Here is a 14,105-nt window from a genome sequence, read left to right on the forward strand (position 1 = left end):
TTGGTCTCACTTCCTCACCTCTCCCCCCCTGCTCTCCCTCCCCCTTTCTCTCCAGTCTCCCACTCCTGCAAGGCACACTCACTGGCAGGTCCCTTGTCCCAGAGACAGGCTCAGGCAGGTGCCTCCATTGGCACAGGGTTCTGGGAAACTCCCACACAGCAGCCCTGAGGGTGGAGAGGCAGGCGCAATGGAAGCCCTGGGTGCTGTGCCTCCACCTTTCCTCTTCTAGGTGCTCCTGAGAGACCTGCCCACAGCAGCTCCCACAGGTACTCTAAACCACCTCTTCTTCACATCTGTCCCCACTCTCCACATGGTACCCAGCCCCAGCCCCAGTGCCCTCCGTCCCAGTTACTAATCCCTACCCCCCTTTCCTGTTTATTCTCTGGCCTCCCAAGTCCAGCCTCGGACTCCATCTCTCGGAAGCAAGACAACAGGGGTCAGAAGAGGGGCGGAGGTGGCTCCCGGGAGGTGAATGGCTGAGACTTCGAAGAGATTTCCTCCCGGAAAGGCCGAGCATTGAGCCATCCGGGGGGTGGGGACAGCTGGACTAAGAAAGGGCTTAGTAGGCCTGACCTTTCATGTCCCCATCTCCTGCTTCCCTCTCATCTCCTCCCCAAGCAGGTGGTCAGTGTGTTCCCTCTTCCCCTCTTCCCTATGGCTGCAAGAGTCCTCCAGTGCCAGTGCTGACGAGGTTCTTCCTGGAGGTGGGCACCCTCTCACCCATCCCCCAGCAGTCACCACCCCTGGCACCAGGCCCGAAGCAGCTCCATGGGCAGAGCCGTCTTTCCCTGGAGGCCGTCTCTATTTGGGCAGTGAGAATCTCCTCCATCCAGCATCCCTCACACGGCCTGGGGCTTGGCCCTCTTCCCCCACCCCACTGATCATCCTCCTAAGGGAGCTGGGTCCCCTCACCTCACCCACGCCATGCCTCACCTCTGGGTCTGACCACTGAGACACATAGCAGCAGCAGCAGCAGCAGCAGCAGCAGCAGTGAAGGGGGCTGCATTCCACAGCCCCTTCTCCAAGCCCCGGTCCCTGTCCCTCTTCAGGCAGGGACCCTCAGAGCTCTCACTGGGGCAGGAGCCACCTCCTCTGCTCCCACTGCCCCTCTTCTTCCTCCTCGGCCTGCTGCAAGCCTCACGTCTGAGCTGTTTCCTGAGTCACACAATGTCCTGGACACCCTAGTAATGGGGGGCGGAGGAAGAGTGGAGGAACACTAGGGGGGATGAAGGAGGGGCCTTCTGTCCCTGACAACCCCTGGGGAAGTAGGGGGAAGTAGGACGGTGTGCCTGGAGGGCAGGTGATAGGAGGGGAGAAGGAATCTCGGAACCCCCTGGGCAGTCCCAGCCCTGCTGTTTGTTGATCTGGTCTCTCCTTTCTAGGGATGAGAATTGCAAGGTGGCTGCCCTGTGCCCCAGGAGGGGCAGGACCTGGAAACAGGTATTGGGTGGTTACAGAGTTCTGTATTCCTCCTCCCAGGAGAGGATGCTTAATTTGCCAGGTTATTACAGATGCTTCTCAGAGAACCTGCAACTTGTCATAATTTGAAACCACTCACCTTGGCTAAAGGAACCCAGGGGCTTCTGGGCCTTATCTTGGCTCTTGCCAGGACTTATTTTTCTCCTTCTGGCAAATGGGCAAGATGCTGGCCGGTTTTGGGGAAATCTTGGTCTTCCTGTTGTAGGGGAATGTTAAGACTGTCATTATCAGTGATAAATGAACATAGTCTACCCTAAATTTTGCAGTCTGAATTGTCTGTAACAAACACTGAATTTGGGTAGTTTTCACTTCCTCCATCTCTGCCTCCCTCCGCTGTCAAGGTCCTTGGGATGCAGGGAATGCCAGTCAGAATGCAAAATTGGAGTCAATAAAATCACAAAAGAGAATTCTTTGCCTCAGAATGCTCATCCTACCTTCTTGAGTCAACCCAGGACAACTTTGGGGTCAACCACACACTGAGTTCCTTTAGTAGCACAGGGAACTGAGAGTCCAGGGTGGCAGAAGGTGTCAGTGGCAGCTGTGCTCTCCCTGGTGTTGAGGCACTCATGGCTGCTGCTGGTGCACCTGAGAGCCTTCCCCTACCGGGGAATATACTTCACCAGCACCACTTTCTTCCTTTTTTTAGCTTTTTATTTTAAAATACTTTTAATCTCATGGGAAAGGGGCAAAAATACTAAAAAGAATTCCAGGATACCCTTCACTCAGATTCATCCACTAATATCATTTGACCACATTTACTTTATCATTATTTCTCTATAAATACACATTTGTATTTTTTTCTGAACCATTTGAGAGTAAGTTGCATACAAGATACCCTTTACCCTTAAATCCATCAGTGCAAATTTTCTAAGAACAAAACATTCTTTTACATAATATAGTACAATTATCCAAATCAGGAAACTTAGACCGATGTAATACTATGATCTAATTGACAGTCCAAATTCAGGTCCTGCCAATTGCCCCATAATGTCCTTCATGACAATTTTTTCCTTTGGTCTAGGATCTCATTTGGCATCCTGCATTGCATTTAGCTGTCGAGTCTTTTTAGTTTCCTTTAATATGAGTACAGTACCTTAAATGTACTTTGCCTTTCATTATATTGACTTTTTTTTTTTTTTTTTTGAGACAGTCCAGGCTGGATTGCAGTGGCACGACCTTGGCTCACTGCAACCTCCACCGCCTGGGTTCAAGCAATTCTCGTGCCTCAGCCTCCTGAGTAGCTGGGATTACAGGCGCCCACCACCACGCCTGGCTGACTTTTTGTATTTTAGTAGAGACAGGGTTTCACCATGGTGCCCAGGCTGGTCTCAAACTCCTGAGCTTAGGCAATCCACCCATCTTGGCCTCCCAAAGTGCTGGGATTACAGGCGTGAGCCACCGCACCTGGCCGATACTGGCATTTTTAAGCATACAGGACAGTTGTTTTGTAGACTGTTCCTAAATTTGAGTATGTCTGGTGTTTATGCATTTTTGGGCACGAGTACCAGTGTATCACATTAGGAAGCCCGTGAGCCAGCATCATTTATAATGGTCACCCAGTATTCTACTAGTTCATTTAAACCAATTTCCTATTATAGCATGTTTAGGTGGGTCTCAATTTGCTTTCTGTTTTTTTAGAGACAGGGTCTTGCTCTGTCACTCAGGCTGGAGTGCAGTGGCACGCACATAGCTCACTATAACCTTGAATTCCTGGGCTCACGGCAACCTCCTTCCTCGGCCTCCCAAAGCTCTGGGATTACAGGTGTGTACCACCACACCTGGCCTTCAATTTTTAAACATATAATAAACTGAGCTGTGGTAAATATTCTTTTTTTTCTTTTTCTTCTTCTTTTTTTTTTTTTTTGAGATGGAGTCTCACTCTGTTGTCCAGGATGGAGTGCAGTTGTGTGATCTCGGTTCACGGCAACCTCTGCTTCCTGGGTTCAAGCTACTCCTGCCTCAGCCTCCTGAGTAGCTGGGATTACAGGCACATGCCTGGCTGATTTTTGTATTTTTAGTAGAGACGGGGTTTCATCATGTTATCCAGGCTGGTCTCGAACTCCTGACCTCAGGTAATCTGACCACCTCTTTCGGCCTCCCAAAGTGCTAGGATTATAGGTGTGAGCCACCGCGCCCAGACCTTCGGTAAATATCCTTGAACTTACATATTTGCATGGCTAATTATTGCCTTAGGCTAAATTCTAGAAGTGAAACCCCTGAGTGAAAGGGTGAAGACATAGACTTGTTTTAAAGCTCTTGGTCTCTATGTGTTGCCAAGCCATTCTCCAGAAAGCAGTGAGGCCTTTCTACTCCAGTTAGTAGTGTCTGCCTGTGTCCTTACTCTCGCCAACCCTCCACATTAGAATCCTCGCCACTTTGATAGATGAAATGGTCTCTTATTGCTCCTTTAAACTGCACATTTGTTGTTAAATGTCAACATTCTTTTTAACTGTTTAATGGCTATTCGTGTTTCCTGTCCATGCTTTTGTGAGTTTCCTGTCCATGCTTTTGTCCCATTGTCCTATTGGTGTCATTGTCATTTTCCCATCACCTTCCTTAGTCGAGGAGGCAATTGTGGGTATGGGGAAGAGGAACCCTAGTGTAAAAGTCCCTGCTTTTGTACTCTCTGGTTTGCTGACTGGGGATTTGGTGCTGGTGAGTAGTGAAAGGAAAATGGGAAGAGACAACAGGTTTCTCATGGAACCGCGAAGACCTTGGTGGAAAGAACTGAACTCACCATTTCTGCAATGTTGACAATCTAACACCATTTGTGGAAAGGGAGGCTGGGGCACTAGGCTGGAGCTTGAGAAAAAGGAGAAATTGCAACGGAGACAGAGAAGTGGTTAGGTGGAAGGGAACCAGAAGTGTGGTGGGCAGAAGCTGAGTTTAAAGACAGTGTCAGGAAGCTGCCTGCCCACTTCTTGCTTTATCCTGCTTAAGGTAAGGCAGTGTGCACCTGCTCAGGCATTATGAGCTATGCTTGGGTCCCAGATACTTTTCCTGGCCTCTAAGACCTTACAGCCCAAAGCAGTATTGATGCTCCCCCAAGAGCTTGTTTCTCCTTCCCAATGGTTTCCCAAGGGTTGATACTGACCAGGGTGGTACCATCATCACTACAGTGAACTGCAGCATGCCAGGGATACAGATAGTTCCCTCTGGGAAATGACCCTTTTTCCTACAGTATTTCATCAAATAGAGATTCATTTTATTAAAGGGATTTTCTTTCATTGTATACCCCCTGAGAAGGATAAACCTGTCAGTCATTCACACTTCAGTCATAGGGACTTGTGACCTTAAAAGGTGAACTCCGAGGTTGGCCCTGATAATGTGTCCAAACACAAAGAAGGCAATAGGCCACTGTAGCCATAGAGATAAGCAAGAGTGCCAGGTGCAGCGGTGGCTCATGCCTGTACTCCCAGCACTTTGGGAGGCCAAGGTGGGAGAATCACTTGATCCCAGGAGTTCAAGATCAGCCTGGGCAACATAGGGAAACCCCATCCCTATGAAAAAATACAAAAATTAGCAGGCCGTGGTGATGCACACCTGTTGCCCCAGCTACTTGGGAGGCTGACGTGGGAGGATCACTTGAGCCCAGGAGGTTGAGGCTGCAACGAGCCATAATCATGCCACTGCAATCCAGCCAGGGTGACAAGGTGAGACCAGAGTGAGAAAAAAAAAAAAAAAAAAGAAATAAGCAAGAGTAATCCACTCTTGGAGATTATTTGTAAATATATGGTTCGGGAGATATGGAGCCCCTCGTTGCCCCAGGCCCCTCCCTCTCTGCCTCCCTGTTGGTTACTCTTCATCTCTCCAACCTCTTACCATTGTAGTGTCCATGGTTATTCCCTGGGCCTCTTCTAGTTTTCTGTCTCCCTAGGTGATCTCATCCAGTCTCCTGGCTCCCTACCAGATTCAGATACCATCTATGAAGACCACCTTTGTGCTGATGACTCTCAAGATCATACACTTCCCGGAACTCCAGACTTGTACTTCCAAGTACAAGTACCACAAACTTAACATGTCCAGAACTGACCTGATCTTCTCCCTTAACCTTCTCTTCCTTCCTGATAGAATTGAGTTTTGCAGTTCTATTCTTTCCATTGTTTAGGCCCAAATCCTTGAAGATATTGCTGACTCCTCTCTTTTTCTCATACTCCACATCCAAACTGTCTTAAATCCTGTGGACTCTACCTTCAAAATATGTATATCCAGGCCGGGCGCGGTGGCTCACGCCTGTAATCCCAGCACTTTGGGAGGCCGAGGCGGGTGGATCATGAGGTCAGGAGATCGAGACCATCCTGGCTAACAAGGTGAAACCCCGTCTCTACTAAAAATACAAAAAATTAGCCGGGCGCGGTGGCGGGCGCCTGTGGTCCCAGCTACTCGGGAGACTGAGTCAGGAGAATGGCGTGAACCCGGGAAGCGGAGCTTGCAGTGAGCCGAGATTGCGCCACTGCAGTCCGCAGTCCGGCCTGGGCGACAGAGCGAGACTCCGTCTCAAAAAAAAAAAAAAAAAAATATGTATATCCAGAATCTGAGCACTTCTCATCTCTTCTCATCCCTATTGCCAATATCCTAGTCCAAGCCTATGTCATCTCTTGCATCTCCTAACTTGTCTTCCTGCTGCTGTCCTTGCTCTCCTTGTCCATATCTCTACACAGCAGCCAAAGTGAGTCAGTTGAAATACAAGTTAGACCACCTCACTCCTCTGCTCAAAAGTCTCCAATCGCTTCTCCACTCACTCAGAGTAAAGCTAACTTTCCTACAGGGCCTGCAAGGCTCTGCACAAGGCCTTTCCCTCTCAATCTCTTTCTCTCTCTCTCTTTTTTTTTTTGTTGAGACGCAGTCTTGCTCTGTGGCCCAGGCTGGAGTGCAGTGGTGCAATCTCGGCTCACTGCAACCTCCGCCTCCCGGGTTCAAGCGATTCTCCTGCCTCAGCCTCCTGAGTAGCTGGGACTACAGGTGCGTGCCACCACGCCGGGCTATTTTTTTGTATTTTTAGTAGAGATAGGGTTTCACCGTGTTAGCCAGGATGGTCTCTATCTCCTAACCTACCTGCCTCGGCCTCCCAAAGTGCTGGGATTACAGGCATGAGCCACTGCCCCCCAGCCAAGGCCCTTCCCTCTCTAACCTCATCTTTGATTACTTCTCACCATCCAGCCCCATTAGCTTCCTGCTGTTCTTGAAACAGGCACATTCACACCTTAGAGCCTTGTTCTTCTCACTGCCTGAACTGCTTCCTTCCCCAGCTGTCTTCGTGGCTCTGTCCCTCATCTCAAAAGGCACCTAATCAAGGCCTTCCTTGGCTACCCCATTTCAAAACTGGAAGCCTTCTCTCATGTTCCCCACCCCCATTGGCTTTTCTCCTTATTATTTCTCACCATCTAACTAACATATATTTAATTTATATTTCTTATTTACTGACTGCCAATTCCACAAAGTCAAGGATTTTTGTCTTTTTCATTTACTTGTTTTTGGACTTGACCATGCCTCAGTGTGTGGAGCAGGACCTCAACTCAGCGTGCACTGTCTCACTTAAAATACCCCCAGGAGGAGGATACCATTACCTCCACCCACAGTGAGATGTGGAGCTCAGAGAAGTTGAGTCACTTGTACAAGTTCATATAGCTACTAAGTGTGTTTCAGATGTGAGTTATTCACATCCAAACCCATGTTCTTTCTACCCTGAGGCGCCATCTGTCTTAGTAGGGTTTATTTTTTGTCATTTAAAAAACTAATGTGGGCATGGCTGGGAAACAAGTTTCTGCTTCGATTACATCAGAAACTACAGATCCAGACATTCTCTTATGCCTTTGCTGACATTCAGTGCAGCATTCAGTAAGTACTGATGCATGTCATTTGCTTATTTACTTATCAATTCATTTACACAGTATTTATTGAACACAGTCTTTATACCCCGCAATGTTTTAGGCCCTGAATTTATGGTCTTGAACAAAATAGACAGATACCAAGTAAATATGAAATATAATATCAGATAGCGATAAGGAGTATGAGATGATATAAGGCAGGGTGAGGGGAGAGAGAACTTGGGGGCTACTTTAGATTGGGAGGTTGGTCGGGTGCGGTGGCTCACACCTGTAATCCCAGCACTTTGGGTGGTGGAGGTGGGATCATCTGAGGTCAGGAGTTCGAGACTAGCCTAGCCAACATGGTGAAACCGTGTCTCTACCAAAAATGCAAAAATCAGCCAGGCATAGTGGCACACGCCTGTAGTCTCAGCTACTCCAGAGGCTGAGGCAGGAGAACCACTTGAACCTGGGAGGTGGAGGTTGCATTGAGCTGAAATTAAGCCATTGCACTCCAGCGTGGGTGACAGAGCAAGACTCCGCCTCAGGCCGGGCGTGGTGGCTCACACCTGTAATCCCAGCACTTTGGGAGACCAAGGCAGGTGGATCACCTGAGGTCAGGAGTTTGAGACCAGCCTGACCAATATGGTGAAACCCCATCTCTACTAAAAATACAAAAATTAGCCGGGCATAGTGGTGCACGCCTGTAGTCCCAGCTACTCGGGAGATTGAGACAGGAGAATCGCTTGAACCCGGGAGGTAGAGGTTGCAGTGAGCTGAGATCGTGCCACTGCACTCCAACCTGGGTGACAGAGTGAGACTCTGTCTCAAAAAAAAAAAAAAAAAAAAAAAAAAGACTGAGAGGTCAATAAGAGATGGCACCTGTAGTTTCAAAAATAAGTACCAAATTAAACTGCTCATCACCACACCCCTACCATCTCTAATTAGGAGTATTGTGATAGTATCCTACCTGGCTCCCTTGCTTCCAACTTGCCCCCAACTGTTGGCCCAGGCCATTCTCGATGTGGTGACCAGTGAGAGATGATTGGGGCATGGTGAGTCTGATTTGGAATATATTTTAAAACTAGAGTGGGTATAGTTTGACTGAATAAGGGGTACACAGGTTGGGTCTCCAGGAAGTGGACTTTGAGATTTAACCCGGAGCTGGGATGGCCCTTCAGAGCCATCCCCAACTGGGGCAAGGGAGCTGGGTTTTTGCCCCCCACATTAATCAGTCACGGAAGGTGGGTTGCCCCTAGAAAGAGTGTGACCTTGGGGAAGCAATTATCTTCAGTCCACAAAGAGGGCTGAGAGGTGAGGGCTGTCCTTGAGCAGAAGACTTGGGTAACACTGTCAACTAACTAAGCCTAACGGACATCTATAAAACACTCTGCTAAACAATAGCAGGATATACCATTTTTCTCAAGTGTACATGGAACGTTCTCCAGGATAGGCCATATGCTAGGCCATAAAACACGTCTCAATAATTTTAAAAGGACTGAAATAATACAAAGATGTTCTCTGATCACAATAGAATTAAATTAGAAATCAACAACAACAGGAAATTTGAGAAAATTACAAGTGTGTGAAAATTAAACAGCATGCTTCTAAACAACCAATGGGTGGAAGAAGAAATCACAAGGAAAACCAGAAAATATTTCAAGCTGAATGAAAATTGAAACAGAACATATCAGAATTAATTTTTGACATGTAGCTAAAGCTATGCTTAGAGGGGATTTATAGCTTGTAATTCCTATATTACCTCATACCATACACAAAAAACCAACTTAAAATTGATCATAGACCTAAATGTAAGTGCAAAACTATAAAACTATTAGAAAAAGGCCTAAAAGTAGATATTCATGATGTTGGGCTAGGCAATGATTTCTTACATATGATACTTTCTTACATCTACACAAGCAATAAAATAGTATTTTGTTTTTGGAGACAGGGTCCTGGTATGTCACCCAGTCTGGAGTGCCATGGTGCAATCATAGTTCACTGCAGCCTCAACTCCCGGGCTCAAGTGATCCTCCTGCCTCAGCTTCCTGGATAGCTGGGACTACAGGTGCATACAACCACGCTTGGTTAATTGTTAAATTTTTTTTTTTTTTTTTTTTTTGGTGTGGAGACAGGGTCTCACTATATTGCCCATGCTTCACATAAAATATTGATAATTGGATTTCATCAAAATTGAAAACTTTTGTACTCCAAAAGGCACCATCAAGAAAGTGAAGGCTGGGTGTGGTGGCTTACACCTGTAATCCTAGCACTTTGAGAGGCCGAGGCAGGTGGATCACTTGGGGCCAAGAGTTTGAGACCAGCCTGGCCAACATGGTGAAACCCTGTCTCTAAAAAATGCAAAAATTAGCCGGGCATGGTGGTGCATGCATGTAGTCCCAGCTACTTGGGAGGCTGAGGCAGGATAATTTCTTAAACCTGGGAGTTGGAAGTTGTGGTGAGCCGAAATCATGCCACTGCACTCCCGCCTGGGTGATAGAGCAAGACTCTGTCTCAAAAAAAAAAAAAAAAAAAAAAAAAAAAGAAAGTGGAAATTGCCTTCATTAAGGAAAAAAACAAACATAAAAATAACAGCAACCATAAGAAAGTGAAAAGATAAACAAAAGCAATAGAATGAGATCAAGTATTTGCAAATCATTTATCAGATAAGGGACTTGTATCTAAAATATAAAAAGAACTTTTATAACTCAATAATAACAATAAAAAATGGGCAAGAGATTTGAATAGACATTTCACCAAAGAAGATACATAAATGGCCATCAAATACATGAAAACATACTGTTTGGGGTTCACTTAGCTTCTTGCATCAATCAGTTAATATCTTTTGCCAAATTTGGGAGTTTTTCAGGCATTGTTTCTTTGAGTACATTTTCCTGCTCCATTCTCTCTCTCTTCTTCTTAAATGCTGATGACAGAACGTTAGTTAGCTCTTTTGTTACAGTCCCATAAATGAACCTCTGTTCATTTTTTTCAGTCTATTTTTCTCCGTTGTCCAGATTGAGTAATTTCTCTTCTACCTTTAAGTTCGCTGAATCTTTCCTCTGTCCTCTCCAATCTGCTGTTAAGCCAATCTATTGAGTCTTCAATTTTCATGATTATATTTCTAAGTTCTAAAATTTCTATTTGATTCTTCTTCTTCTTCTTTTTTTTTTTTGGAGATGGAGTTTCACTGTTTTTGCCCAAGCTGAAGTGCAATGGTACGATCTTGGCTCACTGCAACCTCTGCCTCCCAGGTTCAAGTGATACTCCTGCCTCAGCCTCCCAAGTAGCTGGAATTACAGGCACCTGCCACCATGCCTGGCTAACTTTTTGTATTTTTAGTAGAGACGGGGTTTCACCATGTTGGCCAGGATGGTCTTGATCTCTTGACCTCATGATCCGCCCACCTCCGCCTCTCAAAGTGCTGGGATTACAGGTGTGAGCCACCTCACCCGGCCTGATTCTTCTTTATATCTTCCATTTCTTTGCCAAAATTTCTGGTTTTCATTTGTTTCAAGAGAGTTTGTAATTGCTTGTTAAATGTTGTTTTTTTTTTTTTTCCTTTTCTTTTTGAGACAAGGTCTTGCTCTGTTGCCCAGGCTGAAGTGCAATCATGGCTCACTGCAGCCTTGACCTCCTAGGCTCAAGTGATCCTCCCACCTCAGCCTTCAAGTAGCTGGTACCACAAGTACACACCACCATGTCTGGCTAATTAAAAACATTTTTTTTTTCCAAGGGGCTGGGACCACAAGTACACACTACCATTCCTGGGTAATTATTATTATTATTATTATTATTATTATTTTGTTGTTGTTTTTTGTAGAGACAGCATTTCCCTATGTTGCTGGTCATGAACTCCTGGGCTCAAGTGATCCTCCCACCAGGCATGAGCCACTGCACTTGGCTGTAAAGCTTTTTTTTTTTTTTGAGACAGAGTCTCACTCGGTTGCCCAGGCTGGAGTGCAGCAGTGCAATCTTGGCTCACTGCAACCTTCACCTCCCAGGTTCAAGTGATTCTCCTGCCTCAGTCTCTCGAATAGCTGGGATTATAGGCATCTGCCACCATGTCTGGCTAATTTTTGTATTTTTAGTAGAGATGGTGTTTTGCCATGTTGGCCAGGCTGGTTTTGAACTCCTGACCTCAAGTGATCTGCCTACCTCGGCCTCCCAGAATGCTGGGATTACAGATGTGAGCCAATGTGCCTGGCCTGTGAAGCTTTTTTATTTTTATTTTTATTTTTTTTGAGATGGAGTGTTGCTCTGTCACCCAGGTTGGAGTGCAATGGCATGATCTCAGCTCACTGCAACCTCTGCCTCCGGGTTCAGGTGATTCTCCTGCCTCAGCATCCCTAGTAGCTGGGATTACAGGCATGCACCACCATGCCCAGCTAATATTTGTATGTTTAGTGGAGACGGGGTTTCGCCATGTTGGTCAGGCTGGTCTCGAACTCCTGACCTTGAGTGATCCACCCGCCTTGGCCTCCCAAAGTGCTGGGATTACAGGAGTGAGCCAATGTGCCTGGCCTGTAAAGCATTTTTAATACTTGTTTTAAAATACTTGCTTGCTTTAAATATGCATCAGGTGATTCCAACATTTAAGTCAACTTGGGTGTTGATGTCTGTTAATTGTCTTTTCTTATTCAAGATTTTCCCGATTCTTGGTATGACAAGTGATTTTCGCTTGCATCCTGCACATTTTGGATTGTATGTTATGAGACTCTGGATCTTATTTAAGTCTGTTTTAGTGATCATCCTTTGACACCGCACTAGTTGAGCAAAGAGGGTGCTGCCTCACTGCTGTCAGGTTGGGGGAGAGGCCCAGGTTCCTCACCTGGCCTCTGTGAACACTTGAGGGAGCCGTGCTCCTTGTTATTGCTAGGTGTGGATGGGGGTTCAGGCTTCCCACTAGGTCTCTGCTGACACACCCTGGCTGAGAGAGTAAGAAGCACTTCATTCCTGTTCCCCACGGGGTCTCCAGTGACACTGGTTGTGATGGAGGGGGATTTCATACCACCAGGCGGGGCTGAGAGTCCCAGCTTCCTACTTGCTGGGGAGGGGTGCCTCAGCTGGGTGGGAGTTGATGGCTAAACTCCCCACTCATCCTTTATTGGCAGATATGGGGGTGAGAGTGTTGTTTTTTTTTTTTTTTTTTTTTTTTTTTTTTGCCTGAAATAGAGTAGTCATTGTCTAAAAGTTTTGTCTTTCCAGGATGTTCCTTTGTTGGTCCTTTGGCCAGAGACTTTCCGGGATTTTTTTCATCTTCCTGTTGGAGTTTCCTGGTTGCTGGCTTTTCCAGCACCCAGTCTTGTATATATGAGGCAAAAGCCAAACCCAGGGAACTCACCACTATATTGTTTTTTCGGGTCTTGAGATTCCTAGCCAGTCTGCCTTCTCTGCATCTTTCAGGATCTTCTTATGTTTGTTTTATATATACCATCCAGGATTGTAGCTGTATTTAGCAGGAGGAATCAGAAGAGCATCTACGTCATCTTGTCTTGGAGCTTGAAGGCAGCTGGTTAAGTCCTTAAAACATTCAACACAGATTTTCCATATGACTCAGCAATTGGGTTCCTAGGTATCTACCTAAGAAAAATGAAAGCAGGCCGGGTGTGGTGGCTCACGTCTGTAATCCCAGGAATTTGGGAGGCCGAGGTGGGCGGATCACCTGAGGTCAGGAGTTTGAGACCAGCCTGACCAACATGGAGAAACCCCATCTCTACTAAAAATACAAAAATTAGCTGGGCATGGTGGTGCATGCCTGTAATCCCAGCTACTTGGGAGGCTGAGGCAGGAGAATCACTTGAACCCAGGAGGCGGAGGTTGCGGTGAGCTGAGATTGCGCTGTTGCACTCCAGCATGGGCAACAAGAGCAAAACTCTGTCTCAAAAAAAAAAAAAAAAAGAAAGAAAAATGAAAGCGTATTGTCCACACAAATACTTGTATAAGAATTCATAGCAGTGTTATTCACAATAGGTATGAAGTAAAAACAACCAAATATCCATTGATCAGTGAATTGGTGAACAAAATATGGTGTGTCCCTTTGGGAGGCTGAGGCAGGTGCATCACTTGAGGTCAGGAGTTTGAGACCAGGCTGGCCAACATGGTGAAACCCCGTCTCTACTAAAAATACAAAAAATTTAGCTGGGCATGGTGGTGCACCCCTGTAATCCCAGTTACTTGGGAGGCTGAGGCAGAAGAATTGCTTGAACCTGGGAGGCAGATGTTGCAGTGAGCTGAGATCACACCACTGCACTCCAGCCTGGGTGACAGAACAAGACTCTATCTCAAAAAAAAAAAAAAAAAAAAAAGGTGTGTCCATACAATGGAATACTATTCAGCAATAAAAATGAATGAAATATGGATACATGCTGCAAAATGAATGAACCTCAAAAACATTATGCTAAGTGAAAGAAGCTAGACTCAAAAGGCTGCAGGAATCCACTTACATGAAATGTCTAAAATAGGCAAATCTATAGAGACAGAAAGATTAGTGATTGTCTAGGGCTCAGGTTTGGAATGGGGGCTAAGTGCAAAGGAATATGAAATTTCTTTTTGGTGTGATGGAAATGTTTCAAAATTAGATTGTGGTGATAGTTTTACAACTCTATAAATATACTAAAATCATTGAATTGTACACTTAAAATGGATGATTTTTTTTTCTTTGAGATGGAGTCTCGATCTGTTGCCCAGGCTAGAGTGCAGTGGTGCCATCTTGGCTCACTGCAATCTCCACCTCCCAGGTTCAAGCAATTCTCTTGCCTCAGCCTCCCGAGTAGCTGAGATTACAGGGGGCCACCACTACACCTGGCTAATTTTTGT

The 14,105-nt window shown here is 46.0% G+C and overlaps 1 protein-coding gene across 3 annotated transcripts in view; it reads right to left on the minus strand.

The window, feature by feature from the left end:
• The window catches only part of NOTCH4 (notch receptor 4), a 29,225-nt gene extending 28,080 nt beyond the window's left edge, over positions 1 to 1,145 (minus strand). For all 3 annotated transcript variants that reach the window (NR_134950.2, NR_134949.2, NM_004557.4), the window contains exons 1-2: positions 934 to 1,145; positions 83 to 164 (exon numbers count right to left, since the gene is read on the minus strand). Coding sequence is in view for 1 of the 3 variants with exons in the window: in NM_004557.4 (NP_004548.3) it covers positions 83 to 164; positions 934 to 1,006 (155 nt within the window). In the remaining 2 variants the exon portion in view is untranslated. The remainder of the gene's footprint in view (positions 1 to 82; positions 165 to 933) is intronic.

This window comes from Homo sapiens, chromosome 6, assembly GCF_000001405.40.
Source record: "Homo sapiens chromosome 6, GRCh38.p14 Primary Assembly".
NCBI classification, from domain to species: domain Eukaryota; kingdom Metazoa; phylum Chordata; class Mammalia; order Primates; family Hominidae; genus Homo; species Homo sapiens.